Source organism: Homo sapiens, chromosome 11 (genome assembly GCF_000001405.40).
Source record: "Homo sapiens chromosome 11, GRCh38.p14 Primary Assembly".
NCBI lineage: Eukaryota > Metazoa > Chordata > Mammalia > Primates > Hominidae > Homo > Homo sapiens.
This window is the reverse complement of record NC_000011.10, coordinates 77910963-77934983: the sequence shown is the minus strand read 5'-3', so window position 1 is coordinate 77934983 and position 24021 is coordinate 77910963. Positions and strand designations below refer to the sequence as shown.

The following is a 24021-nucleotide window of genomic DNA, read 5'->3' as shown; positions in this document are numbered from 1 at the left end:
GCCGGAGACCTGTGCGAGGTCTTAAAAGTGCCTACAAAATCATACCTCAGGATAGAACTACTTCTTAGAAGGGCAAGAATATTATTTTTGAAAGAAAGTTTTTCATCAGTAGATGTTAAGAATTGGGTTATCTTATCATTTGTTCTAAAATGTTCCATATGTATAGAAAGTAAATCTACCTCTGCTTTTTGATTCTCTGTGAACTTAAAATATGAATTACAGTTTAAATAATATTGGATAATAAGGAAGTCCAGTTATTAAAACCTATTTTACTCTAAAATGAGTAACTGAAACCTATTTTGTTTCTATTAGCATTTTTGCTTTGTTTCGTTTCTACAACTGAATTTCATCACTTTTATTTTTTTATTTTTTTATTTTTGAGTTTTAATGCTCTTTATTATTGAATTCAATGGCAATGTAACAACAGTCATGGAAATTTTGAAAAGAAGAAAACATCCGTAATCCCACCTCTCCAACACAACAACATTCTCATGTTTGTCTCTTCCCTCTGGGATTTGTCTCCCTGCAGTCACCCTTTTAGAAATGTGCAGATCTAGGCATTTGCATCATTCTTTTTTTTTTTTTTTTTAGTATTTATTGATCATTCTTGGGTGTTTCTCAGAGAGGGGGATTTGGCAGGGTCATAGGACAATAGTGGAGGGAAGGTCAGCAGATAAGCAAGTGAACAAGGGTCTCTGGTTTTCCTAGGCAGAGGACCCTGTGGCCTTCCGCAGTGTTTGTGTCCCTGGGTACTTGAGATTAGGGAGTGGTGATGACTCTTAAAGAGCATGCTGCCTTCAAGCATCTGTTTAACAAAGCCCATCTTGCACCGCCCTTAATCCATTTAACCCTGAGTGGACACAGCACATGTTTCAGAGAGCACGGGGTTGGGGGTAAGGTCATAGATTAACAGCATCCCAAGGCAGAAGATTTTTCTTAGTACAGAACAAAATGGAGTCTCCTAAGTCCACTTCCCTCTACACAGACACAGCAACAATCCGACCCCTCCATCCCCTCCCCACATTTCCCCCTTCTCCACTCCACAAAACCGCCATTGTCATCATGGCCCGCTCTCAATGAGCTGCTGGGCACACCTCCCAGACGGGGTGGCTGCCGGGCAGAGGGGCTCCTCACTTCCCAGACAGGGCGGCCGGGCAGAGGCGCCCCCCACCTCCCGGACGGGGCGGCTGCCGGGCGGAGACGCTCCTCACTTCCCAGACGGGCGGCTGCTGGGCGGAGGGGCTCTTCACTTCTCATAGGGGGCGGCAGGGCAGAGGGGCTCCTCACATCCCAGATGATGGGCGGCCAGGCAGAGACGCTCTTCACTTCCCAGACGGGGTGGCGGCCGGGCAGAGGCTGCAATCTCGGCACTTTGGGAGGCCAGGGCAGGCGGCTGGGAGGTGGAGGTTGTAGCGAGCCGAGATCACGCCACTGCACTCCAGCCTGGGCAACATTGAGCACTGAATTAGCGAGACTCCGTCTGCAATCCCAGCACCTCAGGAGGCCGAGGCTGGCAGATCACTGGCGGTTAGGAGCTGGAGACCAGCCCGGCCAACACAGCGAAACCCCGTCTCCACCAAAAAAAATACGAAAACCAGTCAGACGTGGCGGCGCGCGCCTGCAATCCCAGGCACTCGGCAGGCTGAGGCAGGACAATCAGGCAGGGAGGTTGCAGTGAGCCGAGATGGTGGCAGTACAGTCCAGCTTCGGGCTCGGCATCAGAGGGAGACCGTGGAGAGAGAGGGAGAGGGAGACTGTGGGGAGAGGGGGATGGAGAGGGGGACGGAGAGGGACAGGGAGAGGGCCACTTTTAACATTTATATGATTTAGTTATACAGTTTTCAGTTTGCCATTAAGATTTTTTAAATACTTTTTTTTATACTTTTGAGTTCTGGGGTACATGTGCAGAACGTGCAGGTTTGTTACATAGGTATACACGTGCCATGGTGGTTTGCTGCACCCGTCAACCCATCATCTACGTTAGGTATTTCTCCTAATGCTATCCCTCCCCCAGCCCCCCACCCCCTGACAGGCCCCAGTGTGTGATGCCCCCCCACCTTCAGTGTCCATGTGTTCTCATTGTTCACCTCCCACTTATGAGTGAGAACATGTGGTGTTTGGTTTTCTGTTCTTGTGCTAGTTTGCTGAGAATGATGGTTTCCAGCTTCAGCCATGTCCCTGCAAAGAACATGAACTCATCCTTTTTTATGGCTGCGTGGTATTCCATGGTGTATATGTGCCACATTTTCTTTATCCAGTCTATCATTGATGGGCCTTTGGGTTGGTTCCAAGTCTTTACTTGTGAATAGTGCTGCAATAAACATATGTGTGCATGTGTTCTTATAGTAGAATGATTTATAATGCTTTGGGTATATGCCCAGTAATGGGATTGCTGGGTCAAATGGTATTTCTGGTTCTAGATCCTTGAGGAATCGTTACACTGTCTTCCACAATGGCTGAACTAATTTACACTCCCACCAACAGTGTAAAAGTGTTCCTGTTTCTCCACATCTTCTCCAGCATCTGTTGTTTCCTGACTTTTTAATGATCGCCATTCTAACTGGTGTGAGATGGTATCTCATTGTGGTTTTGATTTGCATTTCTCTAATGACCAGTGATGATGAGCTTTTTTTAATATGTTTGTTGGTCGCATAAATGTCTTCTTTTGAGAAGTGTCTGTTTGTATCCTTTGCCCACTTTTTGATGGGGTCATGGTTTTTTGTTTTGTTTTGTTTTGTTTTTTGGAAATTTGTTTAAGTTCCTTGTAGATTCTGGATATTAGCTCTTTGTCAGATGGATAGGTTACAAAAATTTTCTCCCATTCTGTAGGTTGCCTGTTCACTCTGATGATAGTTTCTTTTGCTGTGCAGAAGCTCTTTAGTTTAATTAGATCCCATTTGTCAGTTTTGGCTTCATTGCCGTTGCTTTTGGTGTTTAAGTCATGAAGTCTTTGCCCATGCCTATGTCCTGAATGGTATTGCCTAGATTTTCTTCTAGGGTTTTTATGGTTTTAGGTCTTATGTTTAAGTCTTTAATCCATCTTGAGTTAATTTTTGTATAAAGTGTAAGGAAGGGATCCAGTTTCAGTTTTCTGCATATGGCTAGCCAGTTTTCCTAACACCATTTATTAAATAGGGAATCCTTTCCCTGTTGGTTGTTTTTGTCAGGTTTGTGAAAGATCAGATGGTTGTAGATGTGTGGTGTTATTTCTGAGGCCTCTATTCTGTTCCATTGGTCTATATATCTGTTTTGGTACCAGTACTATGCTGTTTTGGTTACTGTAGCCTTGTAGTATAGTTTGAAGTCAGGTAGCATGAGGCCTCCAGCTTTGTTCTTTTTGCTTAGAATTGTCTTGGCTATGTGGGCCCTTTTTTGGTTCCATACTAGTATATATATTTAAGGGGTACATGAGATGTTTTGATACAGGCATGAAATATGAAATAATCACATCATATAGAATAGGTATCCATCTCCTCAAGGATTTATCCTTCGTGTTACAAATGTTATTAAGATGTAATCAAATTAACTTAAGTTTAAAAAGTGAGTATACCATAACCAGGTATCAGGTATGACAGCTTTCTAATTTTATCACATTTATACAGTTCTGGGAAAATTTGGGTTTTAGGGATGCATTGCTGGGAATGAAATGGAGCCTTATTTCACTGGCTGTTCACTCTAGTGTAGTGCCTCACATACTTCTAGTCTTCTAATTTATCCATCTTCTCCCTCCTTTTTGGGACTTTGTGCATGCAGCTTTTCTTCTAGAAAGGTCTTTTTCTTTCTTTTGGCTTAGCAGCTCTTTTAGTTATTGTTTTTAGGGATCACATATTACAGAAAGCCACCTCTGATCCCATTGATTGAGCTATATTTCTTCATATGCATTTTCTTACATTCCCTGTGCTTTTCCATGGCAACAGTCATCACTCTGTAATGCAATTAACTGTTCTTGTTTGTAAGCCTGGGGGATAGTCTTGCTTTTGTTCATCTTTGTATCTTTAGTACTAAGTACAAACCTAATAGGTAGCTAAGTCTGGATCCAATTATACATGTGCAGATGCTGAGAATCAGTCTTTTTAAAAATATAGTATAGTAGATTCCTTTTCTCTGCTCTGTACCCATAGGGAATCTGTGACATATTATTTATTTATTTTTAATTAACTTTTTTTTATAGAGATGGGGTCTCACTGTGTTGCCCAGGCTGGTGTTGAACTCCTGGGCTCAAGTGATCCTCCTGCCTTGGCCTCTCAAAGTGCTGGGATTACAGGCGTGACATACCTGGCCGACATATCTTCAACATTCCAAAAAGTTCAGTGGAAAATATCAATTTTCTTGCTTATAGTCTGGCCGTTCAGGCAAAGTAAAATACCACATTTCTTTGCTTCTGCTTAGAATTGTATCAGCTGAGGTCACAATGATTATCTCTTTCTGATCAGAAGTTCCTTCCTGATTGCCTTGGTGGACTTGCAAAGGTTACATATGAGTCAGTGTGGTGTAATGGATAAAATTCTAGGAGGAAGAGCCAGCACTTAACATGTTTGGGTTTATCTCTAGCTTGCCTTATAATTAGCAATTTCATGTTTAAATTATATTATTGTGAAGTGAAGAAAATTGTTCTCTTCTGATAAAAAGGAGGAATTCATAACTACCAAGAAAAACCTGAATCATCTGTCTTTAATGTAGTAACTCTACTTTTAACATGTCTATAAAACCTTTCTTTATACAAAGAGGAAATTGTGTTTGTGAGTTTTAACCACAACTTTAGGTACTTTTTGTTTTATTTTGTTTTGGAATAGTCCATTTTGTTACAGAAGCATATGGGAATCACTAGAAAAAAACAACCATGTATAGAAGTCTTATGAGCATTTTCTGTGTCTTACTCATTTCTCATCTTTGTATCCTAGCCCTTAGTACTGCACCTAGCATATAATACGTGTTCAGGACCCACTTATTAGTGAATCAAGAAAGGGCTTCCTCGGATCAGTGGCTTTATTGTTTACATGTTCTGAGCATGCCAAGGGGTGGAAAACATGCCTCTGTTTTCAGGGTACTTTACAGAACCCAAACCTATACCCTAGGTGATACTTACTGAGCCCTTAAAATATGCCAGGCAGGGTCCCTATGTGGTTTACCTGTATTATCTCATTTAGTCCTAACAACTCTGTAAGGAAATGAGTATTATCTCCACTTACCAGGCGAGAAATTTGAGGTGCCAGGAAGTTGAGTTACTTATTCAAGATCACCCTCCAACTTAGTGGAGGGATCATTCACTACAGTTTGCTCTGAGACCTCTATCATTCCAAGCGTGTATCCTTAACTACTATATGATTTTAGCCTACAATCAACAGACCTGAGTATTGGTCCTATTCCTGCCCTCATTCACTTTGAGGCAAGTGAATCCACATTGCTGAATCTTACCTCTAAAATTCGAACAATGATATTTAGTCTACTTTAATCTTAATGATAACATTATTTACTAACTGACTTTTTAAAAAGTACTGTGGTCAGAATACTGAGATAAGTAAGACAATTTAATTTTCAAGAAGTTAATGTAGACAGACATGTGACTTCATCACATATATGTGGTGTCAGATTTAAGCCATAGTCCTTGTGATACTAAAGTCCATGTTCTTAGATCGACGTTAAGGTGGGTGGTATGTGAAACTGTGGGCATAGAGATCTCCCAGGGAGAGTTTATAGAATGAGAGGAGTAGAGAATAGAAGACAGCCTGAAGGAGAAGGAATCCATCTTGGACTTATCCCATGGCTCTTAATTTGATATGAGTTACTTTATATATATATATAAAATATGGGGCTTCAGTGTGTTGCTCAGGCCAGCCTTGAACTCCTGAGCTCAAATGATCCTCCCACCTCAGCTTCCTGAGTAGCTGGGACTTTGGTGTATGGCACTGCACCTGGCTGATGTGCAGTTTTTGTTTTTTTGTTTTTGGAGTTTTTTTTTTTTTTGAGACAGGGGCCCACTCTGTCACCAGGATGGAGTGTAGTGGCACGATCATGGCTCACTGCAGGCTCAAACTCCTGGGCACAAGTGATCTTCCTGCCTCAGCCTCCCAAGTAGATGGGACTATAGGCGTGTGCCACCACACTTGGCTAATTTGTTTTTTGTGTGTTTTGTTTTGAGATAGGGTCTCATTCTGTCACCAGGCTGGAGTGCAGTGGCATGACCTTGGCTAACTGTAATTTCTGCCTCCCAGGTTCAAGTGATCCTCCCTTCTCAGCCTCCCAAGTAGCTGAGACAACAGGCGCACGCTACCACACCCAGCTAATTTTTTAATATTTTTGGTAGAAACAGAGTTTTACCACATTGCATAGGCGGGCTCAAGTGATCTGCCTCCCTTGGCCTCCCAAAGTGCTGGGATTACAGGCGTGAGCCACTGTGCCCAGCCTGATGTGCAATTTCATTTGTTCTTTTTTCTAGAGGTTCGTATTGCTGCTGTGGAGGCCCTCTGCATGTTGGCCCAGTCTTCACCCTCTTTTGCTGAGAAGTGCCTTGATTTCCTAGTTGACATGTTCAACGATGAAATTGAGGAAGTACGTCTGCAGTCTATACATACCATGAGAAAAATCTCTAACAACATCACCCTCCGAGAAGATCAGCTTGACACTGTCCTGGCTGTGCTAGAGGTGAGTGTTTCTAATTTGTTACTCATTTCTTCATCCCTCACCCCCCCCTGTTAAAATCAGGTATTGTGCTAGGCATTGGTGACAGAACACTATATCAGGGAGCACAGTTCTGTTTTCTCACCATACCCCTTCCCTAAGATGGAAGAAATTGACTGTGAAACAGGAAATTTGAATAAGCTTGGTCTTTCTGTGATCAAGAAAGGATAGGATGCCTAGGGAATACATAGTGTCTAACCTGAATTGGCTGAGGTGAGGTTGGGAAGAAGGAGGAAGTGCTGTAGTGGACACTTGAAGGAGGAGTAGGACTTAACTAGGCTTTTTTTTGCCTTCTTCTTTTGAGACAGGGTCTCACTCTGTCACTCAGGCTGAAGTGCATCTTTTTTAAAGGAGAAGTGACACTGGTGGTAGGATGAAAGGGTACCAGACAGAGGGAGCAATGTCTAAAGATGCAGAGATAAGACAGAATATGATATATTCAAGGAACTAAAAAGAGTTTATTATAATGATAGTGTAGAGTTGAAGAGATGGAAGAGTGGAGGACGTGGCTATAGATAAGGTAGGGGCTAAATAATGAAGAGTTCTTTTCAACCTTTAATTTGATTTTATTCTTGTAGTGAATCATAGGCTGTTATAGCAGCAAGTGATCTTAGGGATTGATTCATTCTACCCTGGGAATTTTATAGAGAAAAAAATAAGTTGTTTGAGTTAGTGGCTGAACCAGAATGTAAACAGAGAGTTGCTTCCCAGGCCATACAGCTCTAGGTGGTTCTTGTATTATTTTTCTAAAATGTCTGGATTTTAATTGCAACTACTCAAGTTCTTCAGAGTATTCATAAATGGGGTTTGTCCTCTGGTTTCCTTTTTTGGGGAAGATGGGGTTCAGATGTGAAAGGGATAGTGATTAGGTGCTTAGTTTTTAGAACACTTGTAACAGATTTCTACTGCGTACTTTAAAGAATAGCTGGTGCTTTGGTTTTGAAGGTCCCTACCATTCTCTCAGCTGCTTAGCACTTCTACTGAGATTTTTCCTGAATTATAAATCTTTATAATTTTTTCATGTATTTTTTCCTAAAAATAAGTTTACATTCTATGTGCGGTTCTTCATGGGTGGCCTCATACATAGCCTAGCCACTCCTTTCCTTTTTAGCTTTCTTTTCCACCATTCCTCACCTTGAACTTTATGCTGAAGTCACTTTCCTACACATATTGCTTTTCCTCACAATTTTACCTTCAATGTAATTTTCCCCCACAGTTTGCAAAACTGCCACTTTAACCCAGGAGACGTCCACTTATTCCCACAGCCTATATTAGGTAACATATCCAGGAAGCCTTCCCTAACTGTTACTCCCAGCACTGGGTGGGCTAAATGCCACCACTCTATTCCCATAGCACCCTGTGTATACTGCTGTAGCATTTTTCAGTAATTCTCTATTTCATAAGACTGTGAGCTCCTCAAGGTGTCTTGACTTTTCTTTTCTTTTCCTTTCCTTTCCTTTTTCCTTTCCTTTCCTTTCCTTTTTTTTTTTTTTTGAGGCTGAGTCTCGCTCTGTTCCCCAGGGTGGAGTGCGGTGGTACGATCTTGGCTTACTGCAACCTTCACCTCCTGGGTTCAAGCAATTCTCCTGCCTCAGTCTCCCGAGCAGCTGGGATTACAGGCACGCACCACAATACTAATTTTTGTATATATTTTTTTTTTTAGTAGAGATCGTGTTTCACCATATTGGCCAGGCTGGTCTCGAACTCCTGACCTCAAGTGATCCACCCACCTTGGCCTCCCAAAGTGCTGGGATTATGGTGTGAGCCACCGTGCCCGGCTGACTCTTCATTTTTTTATTACCAATGTCTTGCAGCAGTGTCTGGCACAATTAGGTGCTCGGTAAGTGTTTGCTGAGTAGCTGAGCTATGTTCCAAGCTATGTTTTGATGTACAGAATTGTTCACAGGTATGCTTATTTGTGAGTACTTATGTATATAACTCACAAAGAATCCTTGCCTTTTAATTCTTTTCAGGAGTTCAGACCAATATAAACTTACAGTAGACTATTCTTCCACCCTGCTGTGTACTTCTCCCTTATATTTTCTGTGTCACTGGGCTTCATTGCTTTGAGCCTTACCTTGCTGACCCTTCCAGCTGGAATTTGCCTTTTTTTTTTCCTGCTATGTCAAGATCCTACCCTGCCTAGAAAAATTCACTTCTTTATTCAACAAGCACTGTCTATGTATTAGAAATATAGGGATATCAAAACAGGCAGGATCCCTGCTGTCATAAAACTTATATTCTAAAGAGAGGTGGAGTAAACAAACAAAATGATTTCAGATGGTGATAAATGTTTTGCAGAAGATAAACAGTATGATTGAGGAATGGGGAATTTCTCTGTAATTTGAGTGGTTAGTAAAGACTTTCTGAGGAGATGATGTTCAAGTTGAGTCTTGAATGATAAACAGAAGCTAGCTATGTGAAGACTGGGAGAATAACTTCAGGTAGAGGCAACAGCTAGTGGAAAGGCTCTAAAACACAAGTGAGCTTTGTTGTGTTTGCAGAATAGAGAGAAAGCCAGTAGGAGTGAACCACAGTGAGAAAGTAGAAATGTGGCATGAGATGAAGTCTGAGAGGGGATTAGGGACAGGTGGAGAGCCTTGTAGGCCATTTTAAGATGTCTGGATTTTATTCTAACATTATGGAAAACTGTTGCAGAATTTTATGGATAGGAGTGACATTTCGATTTGCCTCTCTTTTAATATTTCTCATTCTTGAAATCTTGAAATTCACTTCAGATAGATTGACTTTTTCCCTCACTCCTCCATTTAACACATACAGGTATACCTCTCTTTATTGGGCTTTGCAGATATTGTGTTTTTTTAATAAATTGAGAGATTGCGGCAACCATGCATTGAGCAAGTCTATCGGTGCCATTTTTCCAATAGCATGTGCTCACTTTATGTCTGTGTCACATTTTGGTAATTCTTGCAATATTTCAAACTTTTTCATTATTACATCTGTTACAGTGATCTGTGATCAGTGATCTTTGATGTTACTGTTGTAATTGTTTTGGGATGCCACAAACTGTGCCTGTATAAGATGGCAAACTTAATAAGTATGTGTGTTCTGAGTGTTCTGCTAACTGGCCATTCCCAGCCTCTCTCTTAGCCTTTCTTCTTAGCCTGTCCTTTTTCCTAGTTGCAAAAAGGCTCTTGTACCTTCAGCATCATGATTGAGTTCCAGATAGGATGGAAAAGGAAGGTTAAAGAACAAAGGGGATAAAGCTACTGCCTCTGGTCCTTTATCAATAAAATGAAAGATATTTCAGGAATTTCAGCTAAAAAACTTCCACATACTTTGTTACATGGCCACCCTAGATGGGAAGGTGGCTGGGTAGAAGGGGATGGTAGATAGAGGCTGAGTCTGCTAACCAACAGTAACTACTGTTATTATTACTTTTTTTTTAAAAGGATTCATCCAGAGATATTCGAGAGGCTCTTCATGAACTCTTATGCTGTACTAATGTTTCAACCAAAGAAGGGATTCATCTTGCATTGGTGGAGCTGCTGAAAAATTTAACCAAGTACCCTACTGATAGGGACTCCATATGGAAGTAATGACTTTTTTGCCCATTTACTCACTGAGTCCCATAATGTGGTAAATGTATAATGCTGACATTTGTTCCGTCCTTATAGATTGAGGATAGTACGGCCCTGAATTTTGCCTTTACTTTAGAAACCTGATTCAACTTAACCGAACTCTCAGGAATCTGATTCCTAAGCTGAGTATCACATTTTAGATTACTTACTAATTTGTGCATCTATCCACCTAGCAAATATTATGTGCCTGCTGTGTGCTGACTATGCACCAACCCTTGTGGTAGCTGTTACAAGTATAGAAATAAATTAATTAGATTTCCTCTTTCTCCTATATAGTGTTTTGTTTTGTTACTTTTTTTTTTTGAGACGGAGTCTCGCTCTGTCACTCTGACTAGAATGCAGTGGCGTGATCTCAGCTCACTGCAACTTCTGCCTCCTGGGTTCAAGCGATTCTCCTGCCTCAGCCTCTCGAGTAACTGGGATTATAGGTTGCATGCCACCATACCCCAACTAATTTTTGTTTTTTTTTTTAGTAGAGATGGGGTTTTACCATGTTGGTTAGGCTGGTCTTGAACTCCTGACCTCAGGTGATCCCCCTGCCCCGGCCTCCCAAAGTGCTGGGATTACAGGCATGAGCCACTGTGCCTGGCCTTATTATTTTTTATTCATTAAGTTCTGGTTTAGAAGGTGCACTAAATTGGCTGGGTGCAGTGGCTCACGCCTATAATCCCAGCACTTTGGGAGGCTGGGGCGGGTGGATCACCTGAGGTCAGGAGTTCAAGACCACCCTGGCCAACATGGTGAAACCTCATCTCTACTAAAAATGCAAAAATCTGCCGGGCCTAGTGGCACACGCCTGTAATCCCAGATACTTGGGAGGCGAAGGCAGGAGAATTGCTTGAACCCTGGAAGCAGAGGTTGCAGTGAGCCGAGATTGTGCCACTGCATGCCAGCCTGGGCAGCAGAGCAAGACTCAGTCTCAAAAAAAAAAAAAAAACCATAAACAATAATAAAAATATATAATTACCTTGCTTTTATAGTTCCTTATAGTTTATAAAGGGCCCTCATGTAGTTATAATAGCTAACATTGAGTTCTTACTATGTGACAGACACTTTGCTAAGTACTTTATGTTAGTTATTTAATGCGTATAGCAACTCTATGAAGTAATGACTTTTAATCTCATTTTGTAGATGAAAAAATTTACTTGCATAAGGCTACTTAGTTTCAGACAGATCTGTGATTTCAGGACTTCACCCAGGATATCAATCAGAATGTTTTTGCCCACAAATAAAAAAGACAATCTGATTAAAAATATCTTAGCCAATAAGTCTGTTTTTTCATAACAAGTGGTCAGAAGGTTGGTTTCAGGATTCGTCATTCAACAGGTTACCAGGGCTCTCTTTGGTTTCTCTGCAGTTCTCTTGGCTTTTTTTTTTTTTTTTTTTTTGAGACAGAGTCTCTCTTTATCGCCAGGGTGGAGTGCATTGGCATAATATTGGCTCACTGAACCTCCGCCTTCCAGGTTCAAGTGATTCTCCTGCCTCAGCCTCCCGAGTAGCTGGGACTACAGGCCCGTGCCACCATGCCCAGCTAATTTTTGTATTTTTAGCAGAGATGGGGTTTCACCATGTTGGCCAGGATGGTCTTGATCTCTTGACCTCCTGATCCAGCCACTTCGGCCTCGCAAAGTGTTGGGATTATAGGCGTGAGCCACCACACCCGGCCGGCTTTCTTCTCATAGTTGTAAGATGGCTGCCTCATAAGATAATATCTCAAGACAGAAAGGAAGGGTCATTCCCTTTCATGCATTGCTCTTTTGATTTGCAAAAACATCCCTGAGAAGCTCCCCAGCCAGCATACTCTCGTGCTCCATTGTCTAGAACTGGCTTACTTGCCCACCAGCAAACCAGTCACTGGAAAATGGGAATGGGATTGCCATGATGGGTTTAGACCAATAGTGGTTCAGCTCTTGGGCTGGACCTGCCTTTTCCGAGCACTTTGCTGCCTGCCTGATACCTGAGTAAAATCAGGGCTCTCTCAGGAAGAAAGATGGGGGAAATGGCTCTTGGTTAAATAACCAGTTCTTTTATCTTTATAATAACCAGTTTTTTTAGATGAATTAACCGAGTTCCAGAATAACTGGGTGACTTATCTGAAGTCATAGAGTTAGCAAAAGTATATGGTTGAGAATTTCCAATTCCAGTTCAGGTTTTCTGATTCCAGTTCCTAGTACTTTTCAAAGGACTAACTTTACTAATTTGTTGATGTGCATTCTTATTTGTTTGTTTCAGGTGCTTGAAGTTTCTGGGAAGTCGGCATCCAACCCTGGTGCTTCCCTTGGTGCCAGAGCTTCTGAGCACCCACCCATTTTTTGACACAGCTGAACCAGACATGGATGATCCAGCTTGTATCCTCTGTGCTTAGGATGGGCCCTGATGTGTTGGCAGGCAGCTTTGGCATCTCCTTCTGCAGTATAGCTAGGGTAGTCTGAATTTTCTTTTCTTTGCTTTTCTTTCTTTTTTTTTTTTTTTTTTGAAGACAGAGTCTCATTCTGTCACCCAGGCTGGAGTGCAGTGGCCTGATCTCGGCTCACTGAAACCTCTGCCTCCCGGGTTCAAACAATTCTCCTGCCTCAGTCTCCTGAGTAGCTGGGATTATAGGCGCCCGCTACCACACCCAGCTAATTTTTGTATTTTTAGTAGAGATGAGGTATCACCATGTTGGCTAGGCTGGTCTCAAATTCCTAACCTGTTGCTTGGGCTGGAGTGCAGTGGCACCACCCCAGCTCACTGCAACCTCCGCCTCCCGGATTCAAATGATTCTCCTGGCTCAGCCTCCCAAGTAGCTGGGATTACAGGTGCCTGCCACCACTCCCGGCTAATTTTTGTATTTTTAGTAGAGACGGGGTTTTACCTTGTTGCCCAGGCTGGTCTCAAACTCCTGACCTCAAGTGATCCACCCACCTCAGCCTCCCAAAGTGTTGGGATTACAGGCGTGAGCCACCATGCCTGTCCAGTATGTACTTTGATAGGCAATATAGTTGCTTACTTTATAGGCAAAATCATTTCCATTTTTTGTATTCTTGGCAGTCTCTGGCATTTTTAAAAACCTTTGGTAATTGGGGGTGTGGGTGGAGTAGGGGAATGTATTTTGTTGTTTGTATTTGCATTTCTTTGATTATTAGAAAATCATAGTCTCTTGATGGAGATTTTGGAGGTGGAAAGTGAGAGTGCCAGAATCTGGCCAACCTTTTATACTTCCAAGTTTACTTAACCCAGTCATCTATCAGATATTGCAGTTTTGGTACTTATTTTCAATGCTGCTAAAACCTGTCCAACAATGCCAGCATTGTTCTCAGATCACACCTTCAGGCACTATGCCTACCTCCGAGACAGTCTTTCTCATCTTGTTCCTGCCTTGAGGGTATGTTGAAAACATCTGTTGTCCTTGTTTTTATTTTGCATGGGGTAGGGTTATTTTTGTTCATGTTTTCCTTTGAGATGGGGGTCTTGTTATGTTGCCCAGGGCGGTCTCAAACTCCTGGGCTTAAGCCATCCTCCTGGCTCAGCCTCCCAAGTCACTGGGATTACAGGTGAGCACCACTGTGTGCAGCTTGTTTTTGGCTTTTTATTTTTTGTGCTTTGTGGTTATTAAATAGTAGAAAGCAGTCCATATATTCTCTGAAAACTTGTTTGTTCATTCTCTTTCTCTCTTGGGCTCTTTGCCATTGTTTTATACTTTTGCTTTTGTATCCTTTACCTTTTAAGATGATTCATTTTTTTTGGTGTCCCTGGGTTATTGATATTAGGCAAGAAGAAAGGAACCTGGAACAATAGATTATATTTTAGATCAAGAATTTAAATTGTTATATATATATATTTATTTATTTATTTTTATTATTATTACTTTTTGAGACGGAGTCTTGCTCTGTCGCCCAGGCTGAAGTGCAGTGGCACGATCTCGGCTCACTGCAAGCTCCACCTCCCAGGTTCACTCCATTCTCCTGCCTCAGCCTCCCGAGTAGCTGGGACTACAGGCGCCTGCCACCACGCCCGGCTAATTTTTTGTATTTTTAGTAGAGACAGGGTTTCACCGTGTTAGCCAGGATGGTCTTGATCTCCTGACCTCGTGATCTGCCTGCCTCGGCCTCCCAAAGTGCTGGGATTACAGGCATGAGCCACCACACCCAGCCTAAATTGTTATATTTTAACTATTACATATAGCTATGATTCTCCACAAGTGCTTATTTTTTAAAAATAAAACCTTTACTATTTTTAAAACCTAGAGTTATATAGAAGAAAATTTAAAAATAGATCATAATAATAATAGCAAACACTTCGTGAATGCTGTGGCTCAGGTACTCTTCCAATCTCTCTATTTGCATTAACTCATCCCTGCTTGGGTGACTCCAAATCACTTTATTTGGAGTAATATGTGTTTATTTAGAGGAACATTTATATATATGTGTGTATATATATATATGTGTATATATATGTGTATATATGTATATATGTATATATATGTATATATGTATGTATATGTGTATATATATGTGTGTATATATATGTATATATATGTGTATATGTATATGTATATATATGTGTATATATATATATGGTTAGAAAATTTAAACTTTATAGAAAATACAAAATGAGGCCAGGTGCGGTGGCTCATACCTGTAATCTAAGCATTTTGGGAGGCCAAGGCGGGTGGATCATCTGAGGTCAGGAGTTCATGACCAGCCTGGCCAACATGGTGAAACCTCATCTCTACTAAAAATACAAAAATTAACTGGGCATGGTGGTGGGCACCTGTAGTCCTAGCTACTCGGGAAGCTGTGGCAGGAGAATTGCTTGAACCCAGGAGGCAGAGGTTGCAATGAGCCAAGATTGCGCCACTGCACTCCCGCCTGGGCGACAGAGCGAGACTCCATCTCAAAAAAAACAAAAGACAAGTAGATACAAAATGAAAAGTGAAATACTCTTTGCTCTCTCCTCCCCATCCATCTTAAAAGGTAACCACTTTTAACAGTAAGAATAAGTATATCTGTAGGGCTAGGCCAAAAATAAAAAAAAATTATTCTCATGAAAAAATTATATGCTATATAAATTTATTTGGGAATAAATCATTATTCTTCCTTCAAGTGAAAGATAAGATAGTGTTTTAAAGATAAATGTGGCCGGGTGCAGTGGCTCACGCCTGTAATCCCAGCACTCTGGGTGGCCGAGGCAGGCAGATCACCTGTGGTCAGGAGTTCGAGACCAGCCTGACCAACATGGAGAAACCCTGTCTCTACTAAAAATACAAAATTAGCTGGGTGTGGGGGCGGCCACCTCTAATCCCAGCTACTCAGGAGGCTGAGGCAAGAGAATCGCTTGAACCTGGGAGGCGGAGGTTGCAGTGAGCCGAGATGGTACCATTGCACTCTGGGCAACAAGAGTGAAACTCTGTCTAAAAAAAAAAATGTAACAACAGTTCAATTTTTAGTCTCCTTCCTAGGGTTGGCCCATTTATTTCAGTTAGCAATAGAAAATATTATATCTTTCTGTTTTTCTCCTGGCAGCTGTGGCTGTATTGGGTAGACCATGTTTGCATTTTGTCTCTTTCTCTTTAACTCCCAATGTTGCTGAGGAAGGGGAGAAATGTTATTTATAGAATATCCTAGCCTTTTTTCCCCTTTGTTTTGTTTAGCTCACGTTTTTAATGTGCTTTTATGTGTTTGTGTGTGTGTTACCAAAAGCTGAGCCACCAAACTTAATGACTCTGTAATCCCACTCTGCTTAGTTACCAGGTAGAAAACTGGTGTCATCAGCTGTTTCTCCCAGCATCATACCTCAAGAGGATCCTTCCCAGCAGTTCCTGCAGCAGAGCCTTGAAAGAGTGTATAGTCTTCAGCACTTGGACCCTCAGGGAGCCCAGGAGCTGCTGGAATTCACCATCAGGTAGGGTAATCATCCCTTCATCTGACAGAGTTAGTGCTGTTACACTCAGCTTGACTGTTCTGAATTCTGGTGTTGGTTACTAGGCTTGATATTCTGACTTTATTGGTCTACATTCACACACGGTTTTATGGTCTGTTTATATTTGGATTAGATTGTGGTTTGAACATATTTTTTAAAAGAGCTCTTTATATTCATGACTCGATTGATGATTAGTACACAACAGAAATAGTTACAAAGAACCTGTTTTTAGTTTTTTAATTTTATATATTAGGATGAGTGACCAAAATGCAAAGTAACAGTGGCTAAAACAGGAGCAAAGTTTAATTCTTTCTCATAGGCAGGACAGGGCTGAGATGACCATCAGGGATCTAGGCTTGCTCTTTTTTTTTTTTTTTTTTTTTTTTGAGACAGGGTCTCACCCTGTCACCCAGGCTGGAGTGCAGTGGCATAATATCAGCTCACTGCAAGTGATTCTCCCACTTCAGCCTCCCAAGTAGCTGGGACCACAGGCATATGCCACCACACCTGGCTAATTTTGGCTTTTTTTTTTTTGTAGAGTCGAGGTTTCACCATGGTGGCCAGGCTGGTCTCAAACTCCTGAGCTCAAGTGATCCTCCCGCCTCGGCCTCCCAAAGTGCTGGAATTACAGGCGTGAGCCACTGTGCCCGGCCTAGGCTCATTCTTTCTTCTGTCTTCATCTTCTGCATCAAGCAGCCTCTGCTTAACAATTCAGATCTAACTGTGCCCCCTGTATTCCATCCTGTGGGGAAAAGGAAACAGGAAGAGAAAGGTATCATCTCCACCCTGTGGTTTGTTTAAAGACACTTCCCAAAAGTTGTACACTCTAATTTTACTTGCATTCCATTGACTAGAACTTAAGTCACATGGCCATCTCTCACTTCAAGGAGCGAGGACATGCAGTCTTTATTCTGGGTGACTAATGCCTGGTTTACATGCGATGACTCTAATACTCAGGAAGAATGGGAGAAAGATATTGGGGAACAACCAAAAGGCTCTGCCAGACCTTCCTCAAAATGGCCTGAATGATATGAAAAAAATTTAAACTCATTTGCTTTTAGCAAAAGCAGTATTGTTTGCTCTTAAAAGATTAAAAAATTATATCTTTGAGGAGCAAACAGTACTGCTTTTGCTAAAAGCAAATGAGTTTAAATTCTTTATTGTTTGCTCTTAAAAGAGAAAAATATTATATCGGCCAGGTGCAGTGGCTCATGCCTGTAATCCCAGCACTTTGGGAGACTGAGGCGGGAGGATCACTTGAGGCTAGGAGTTCAAGACCAGCCCCGTTGAGTGAAACCCCATCTCTACTAAAAATACAAAAATTAGCCAGGTGTGGTGGCACGCGCCTGTAATCCCAGCTACTTGGGAGATTGAGGCACAAGGATCGCTTGAACTCGGGAGGCAGAGCTTGCAGTGAGCCAGGATTGCGCCACTGCACTCCAGTCTGGGCAACAGAGTGAGACTCCATCTCAAAAAAAAAAAAGAAAGAAGGAAAAATATTATATTATATAATTTGTATCTTAGTTGAGATCTCTTTTGATCTGCCCGGAAGAGTATTTGGTACCAGCCACATTCAATTAATAATTTTTAGTGGATGATTTCATTCCATACACTAAGAAACAAGCTCTGTGCTAGATACAGATCAGCTAGCTAGGATTCTGCCCTTAGAGAGCCCATGTAGACAAGATGGATATAGACAAAGACTTATGATGGTGGATAACAGCGCTTTGTACTTTGTTCATGCTTTCCTGTCCATTATTGCATCTTAACATGTTATAAAGCCAGCCAACTGAACCATCCTCCAAGTTATGTTTTCCCATTATATTAGGTCATTCATTCACTTAGCAGCATTAACTATTTGTTTATTCTAATAAGCCAGTTGCTGAGGGTAGAGAGAAATAAGAAATGACATTTGTTCTTAAGGTACTCACTGTTTATTACAGGACCCAGAAATCATCAATTTGATAAATGATACAGTGAAGAGAAGCATAGATGCTGTGGAAAAACAGATGAAAGTCCCCGACCCATCACGGTAGTGGTGGTGAGGGATGCTTCACAAAGGAGAAGATCCTTTAGCTAGTATGAAATGATAACTGAGCATGTCAGTTTCGTAGTCCATGTGCAGAAGACAGTTCCAACTTCAGCAGACATTAGAAGAGCTGGGAGACCTGAGGGAGAACAGCCTCCCAGAACTGCAGTGGTGTAGTATAGTGATTGAGTGAATGGAGCTTTGAGGGCAGACTCATTTTGTTTAACGTCTGAGCTAATACAGTCATGCACTGAATAACAACGTTGTGGTGGTCCCATGATTATATTTTTACTGTACCTTTTTGATGTTTAGATATACAGATATTTACCATTGTTTACCATATTTACCAATATTTACCATTGTAACCAGTGTTACAGTTGCCTACAGTCTTTAGTACAGTAACATGCTGTACAGATTTGTAGCCTAGGAGCAACAGACTATACCATATAGCCTAGGTGTGTAGTAGGCTATACCATTTAGATTTGTGTAAATATACTCTATGATGTTTGTGAGACAAAATCACATAACAGTGTATGTCTCAGAATGTATCTCCATCGTTAAACAACACATGACTTGTAGTTGTTTGATCTTAGTCAAGTTTATTGCTCAGGGTTCATTTGCAGAAAACAAAAGAGGCTTTTAACTAATTTAAGCAGAAAGAAATTTATTACAGAATGTTACATGGCTCACAGAGTTGTTGGGAAGGCTAAAGAAACAGACTAGGTGGAATATCCAGGAATGATTTCCAGAGCCACACAATGAGTGGGCCACCAAGGAGGCTGATGTTCCTGCTATGATCAGGAAAGCTGCCTATTGAGTCAGGATGCTACCAATAAAGCTGCTGGCTCCAGAACCATGTCTTGCATTCTGCCTTTCTTCCCACTTAACATTATTCCCTATGCAAAACTCATGCGAATGTGTTTGATTGACTGATAATAAATCATGTCTGGAACCTAGCTCAAGGGAATCTGAGAAATGCAGTTTTTAACTTTGCAGCTTATGTAGTCTAGGAAGATACAGTAGATGAAGATAGGAATACCACGAGTGAGTGAGCCAAATCCAGTATATGCCATAAGTACCAACTGCTGTTAGCTCCAGTTTACTCACCTGGGGGACTTGGTGACTTGCTGGGTGCAGGGGTGGGAGTGAGGAACTGAGAGATAAATGGGTGGTCTGATACTCTAGTAATCCAATAAAAAGTTGAGGGTGTCCTGGGCTCCCCTGGGAGTGCCGTGGGCTTGGGCTGGACAGGTCGTGGGGAGAATGCTGGGTAGGTGGGTGCAGCTGCAGCCACAGGAGAGCCAGAGTGTGCAGCATGTGTCCAGCGTGAGCCTCCTGAGCTTCCACCTGGGTCACTTAGTCTTTGTGCCCCTGGGAAGCCTCTAGAAGCCACACAGAGGCCCATAGCAACTCTCATGCCCTGGAGGGTCTCACCAGCCACTCCAGTGATGGGCCCCCCAGTAGCTCTGGGACCCAAGCAGGGATGATTCACAAAGTCCCTACCTAGCACAGGCCTTCACAGTTCAACAAGAAAATCCTACTGTTGACTGGATTTTTAAAAATCAGTGGAGGAGATCACACTAGAAATGATAGATACTGCAAGAAACAAAGCTTGAGTGAAAGCTTGTTACCGTAATGAATGGACTCACACATATCACTGCTTTGCAGTGATAGCATCAGCCAAAAGGGCTGCAGAACATGAATCGTTAACAAGTTGAAATATGTCAAAGATGGCTGTGTGGTGTGAAGAAGCTGCATTAGCTGCACAGGCTAAGCCTAAATGATATTCCAAATGGCAGAGTGTTCACCTGAATACCATCACTGTAATCAGTAACAATAAAAGATAGGGAAAACTGAATTATTTTTTAGGTTGAAATGATTTTAGCATGGCAGTTTGTTCTCTTGCCACTGTACATTGAATCATATACTTGATATTTATTGTGTGCCTGTGATGTGCCAGTAACAGTACTCTAAACTAGGAGTCCCCAGACTACAGCCTGTGGACCAAAGCTGGCCTGTTGCCTGCTTTTGTATGTAAGATCTGATTGAAGCACACCCACGCTCATTTGTTTAGGTATTGTCTATAGTTGCTTTCATGCTACAATCACAGAGTTGAGTAGTTGCCACAGAGACCATACGGCCTGTAAAAGCTAACATATTTACTATTTGACCTTTTACAGAAAAAATTTGCTGACCCTGCTGTAAGCTCTGGGCAGTCCACAGCTCTGTAAGCGGAGATTCCAGTCCTTTCTATACCTCTTGTGAAGCGATTTCTCTTCTCCCTCAACAAAGTGTTTAGTTTTGGAGGCCACTGAATGAGGTTGTTGGCCCTGAGCCCAGTAAAATACAGTCTACTTCCTGACTCATCCCCACCTAAATAAACATTTAGATTTTGTCCTTGACAGTTTTATCCTGTTGGCACTAAAGCAAGTGCAAAAGGCACAAAAGCTAGCCAATTTGGTGATCAGCTGCAGTGCTGGCTCTTAGAAGGTACTCGCCTTCATGGTCTGGGTTTCCTGAGATGATAGTCTTGCTAGGCAGTGGCCGGCCAGATCACTGTCCTAAGTTTGGGGCTCTGTGTTTCTAGCTTGAGTGTGTATTCAGGAGCATAGGCAGGATGGTGAAAAATCTGGAAAGGGAAGCAGATGGACCATAGCACTGAGGGCACCTGCGATGTTTTACAACCATCATTGCAGACATGAAGTAATTTGCTAAGAAGAGGCAGAAGCAGGATTTGAGTTCAGCTTTGTCAACTCTAAAATCCATATTCTGTGATGTGCAGTGATTTACAGGGGATTCCTGTATCACATGAGATTAGATCAGTTGACCCCTGGGGTTCTCCACAACTTACACTTTCTGAGTTGTTATGGAGTGAAATGTTAGCCTTTCATACAGAAGGTTCTCTGATGAGGACTGGAGCCATGTATTTGTTAGTATGAGTGTAAAACAAATTTCACTGTCATACACAGTGCCCTGTTTTGTAATCCAAACAGCCATTTAACCCAATGAAGATCTCACCTATGAGCCAGATGCTGTGGCTTGCACCTGTAGAACTGTTGCGAAGATTATTGTAATGATATGTGGCAAAAGCATTTTGAGAATATCAGTTACATAGATAATAGTTGGACATTTATGGATGTTTGCTTTAAAATTTAAACTAACTGGCTGGGCACAGTGGCTCATGCCTGTAATCCCAACACTTTGGGAGGCCAAGGTGGGCGGATCACGAGCTCAGGAGATCGAGACCATCCTGGCTAACACGATGAAACCCCATCTCTACTAAAAATACAAAAAATTAGCCAGGCGTGGTGGCGGGTGCCTGTAGTCCCAGCTACTCGGGAGGCTGAGGCAGGAGAATGGTGCGAACCTGGGAGGCAGAACTTGTGCTGAGCAGAGATCACGCCACTGCACTCCAGCCTGGGCGACAGAGTGAGACTCCATCTCAAAAAAAAAAAAAAAAAAAAAATTTAAACTAACTGGCTTATTTAACATACTGGACATGTTCTTGACATTTTGTAACTAAATCAAATTTTATAAATGTAATCATGTTTAAACTCACTAGCAGGCAGGGTTGAAGGGGATTGTCTTTTAAGGAATGCTGCAGTCATTTGTCTGCTATTTCTCAGTATGAATAGTGACCTCCTGTTTTTCAAAGTTTACATTTTTGTGTTAAGTCCATGAAAGTGCTGTTGCTATACACAGTGTTGTTTCAGGAACCATATCACCTTAGAAGTGTTCCATAATAGAGAATTGTTCTTTTGGAGTAAAATAGCTCATTATTACCTGAAACAGAAGGGGCTTCATTTATCAGAGATAGAAAGAAATATACTACTTTTCTGATGGGAATTCTTTTACACACTAACCAATGAAGAACATGGGATTTTTTAGTTGAATTATTTAAAATCCTCTTTTTGCGTTGAAACTTTTATTGTCTTTTAGGTAGAGCACCTATTGTGTAGTATTGGAACTGGTCTCGTAATTAAAGAGTAGAAATACACGTTTGTAATCTGTCATCATCTAGGTGCAGGAATAAAGATCGCGTTTTAGAGGTCACCAAGACTTTGTGTTTATTTTGTATTTCCTAACATTCCTTTTTGCTCTACTAAGCTACTAAGAGACATTAATTATAAATTTGATTTTTAGAGATTCTAAGAGATTGAAAAAAATAAACTACATTTGATTTGCACATCCAGAATCTTTTTGACTATCTTTAATAGTGATTTAAATAATTAATTCAGCCTATTGTGTAAACTTAAAAAGAATCACTATATGTAAATGTGTTTACACATAGTGGCATAGTGGCATCATATAGATTGCTAATGTGTGTGTTCCTGGGAGGAACTGTTTTGCTCTGCCTGATAGCATCTAAAGAAAAGTGGCCCAGTGTATCCAGCTGTTTTTTTTTTTTTTTGGAGATGGAGTCTCCCTCTGTCGTTCAGGCTGGAGTGCAGTGGTGCAATCTCGGTTCACGGCAACCTCTGCCTCCCAGGTTCAAGCAATTCTCCTGCCCCAGCATCCTGAATAGCTGGGACTACAGGCGCACTCCACCACACCTGGCTAATTTTTTGTATTTTAGTAGAGATGGGGTATCACCGTGTTGCCCAGGCTGGTCTCGAACTCCTGAGCTCAGGCAATCCACCCACCTTGGCCTCCTAAAGTGCTAGGATTACAGGTGTGAGCCACCGCGCCTAGCCGTATCTAGTTTTAAATTAGTTTTGGTCTCATCTGTGTTTGATGTAATTAATAAATAAATGAAAAGAGTTTAATAGCAAATAAATAAATGAGATGCAATATGATATGGTTAAAAAAATACTTTTGGAGTCAGAGCTGACTCTGTCTAGTTCATGTCCTGTTTTGTTGTTTATTCTGTGACCTTAGGCAAGCCACTTAAATTTTGATCTTTAGTTTCCTGTTCAGTGAAATAGGATTAATTGCAATTCATATTGTGAGGATTAAGTGAGCTCAAGTAAGGAAACAGCCAGCACAGTACAGTGCACATAGAATGTGCTCAGTTTACCTTTCTCATTAGAGCCCATAGTCTCCTGATGGATGTCTAGACTGAGGCTTCCTGAGAATTGTGAGCATAAAGAGATAAAGAGAGGTAACACTGGGACACAGGATTTTTCCCAGAGCTAACAAGTTTCCATTTTTGTTTGTACAGAAGTTCAGATTTCTTATGGCTAATTGTGTTGGATTGGGTTACATCTTGTTTTGTGCACTTCAGAACAACTGCTACAATTCCGGGGCAGGGGAATAAAGTAACATTTGGAATCAGTTAGTTAATGTACAGTCAGTTGGTCTGTATTCTGTATAATTGTCATAGAAGGCAGAATCTTCCTGGAGAGGAAACACAAATGCTTCTGAAGTAGAATACTTCAGGGCTGTCTCTTGCAAGAGAAAAATCAGAGAAGCGAAAGGAAGAGACCATCTGGCCACCAAACTCACACTTCACAGTTGGGCTTAGCTAGTCTATGGTCTTGGCTTTCATTGTGCTGGGTTCCCACACTTTGGGTAGGCCCTCCAGGACCAGTTCAAGCAACCCAAACGAATAAGAAGTGATATATATCATACATTAATTCTTCAATCACTTTGAGAGTAATTTACTCTTTGCCCCTTTGTAGGCATCTCCTTCTTGATGTCAAAGTCCCCAGGAGGCATCGTTAACTATCGTAACGTTACCTGCCGAGCATGAGATGGGAGGAAGTGTCATAGTCCAGTGGACGGTTTTTTCCAGGCTACTGTGAAACCTGATGTGTTATGCCGGCCCTGAAACAGACAGCTTCCCAAGTGACTCAGACCTTAAGGTTTCCC

At 41.7% G+C, this 24021-nt stretch overlaps 1 protein-coding gene across 7 annotated transcripts in view, besides 2 other annotated features; it reads left to right on the top strand.

The window, feature by feature from the left end:
* INTS4 (integrator complex subunit 4) overlaps nucleotides 1-24021 on the top strand; it is a 120307-nt gene that overhangs the window by 59685 nt on the left and 36601 nt on the right. For 4 of the 7 annotated variants that reach the window (XR_002957208.2, XR_001748036.3, XM_017018560.3 and 1 more), the window contains exons 11-15: nucleotides 6437-6642; nucleotides 10092-10234; nucleotides 12513-12628; nucleotides 13511-13644; nucleotides 16006-16163. Coding sequence is in view for 5 of the 7 variants with exons in the window: in XM_017018560.3 (XP_016874049.1) it covers nucleotides 6437-6642; nucleotides 10092-10234; nucleotides 12513-12628; nucleotides 13511-13644; nucleotides 16006-16163 (757 nt within the window). In the remaining 2 variants the exon portion in view is untranslated. Of the gene's footprint in view, nucleotides 1-6436; nucleotides 6643-10091; nucleotides 10235-10316; nucleotides 11534-12512; nucleotides 12629-13510; nucleotides 13645-16005; nucleotides 16164-16719; nucleotides 17195-23831; nucleotides 24015-24021 lie in introns of those variants that run through there. The other 3 variants (XM_047427873.1, XM_047427872.1, XM_011545353.4) reach the window with 3 other exon arrangements.
* Nucleotides 663-1409: an enhancer, noted in NCBI's record as "H3K27ac hESC enhancer chr11:77644621-77645367 (GRCh37/hg19 assembly coordinates)". NCBI's record gives its function as "activates a minimal SCP1, AML or CMV promoter by ChIP-STARR-seq in primed H9 embryonic stem cells {active_cell/tissue: H9 hESC(primed)}" and the evidence as "EXISTENCE:reporter gene assay evidence [ECO:0000049][PMID:30033119]".
* Nucleotides 1410-2157: an enhancer, noted in NCBI's record as "H3K27ac hESC enhancer chr11:77643873-77644620 (GRCh37/hg19 assembly coordinates)". NCBI's record gives its function as "activates a minimal SCP1, AML or CMV promoter by ChIP-STARR-seq in primed H9 embryonic stem cells {active_cell/tissue: H9 hESC(primed)}" and the evidence as "EXISTENCE:reporter gene assay evidence [ECO:0000049][PMID:30033119]".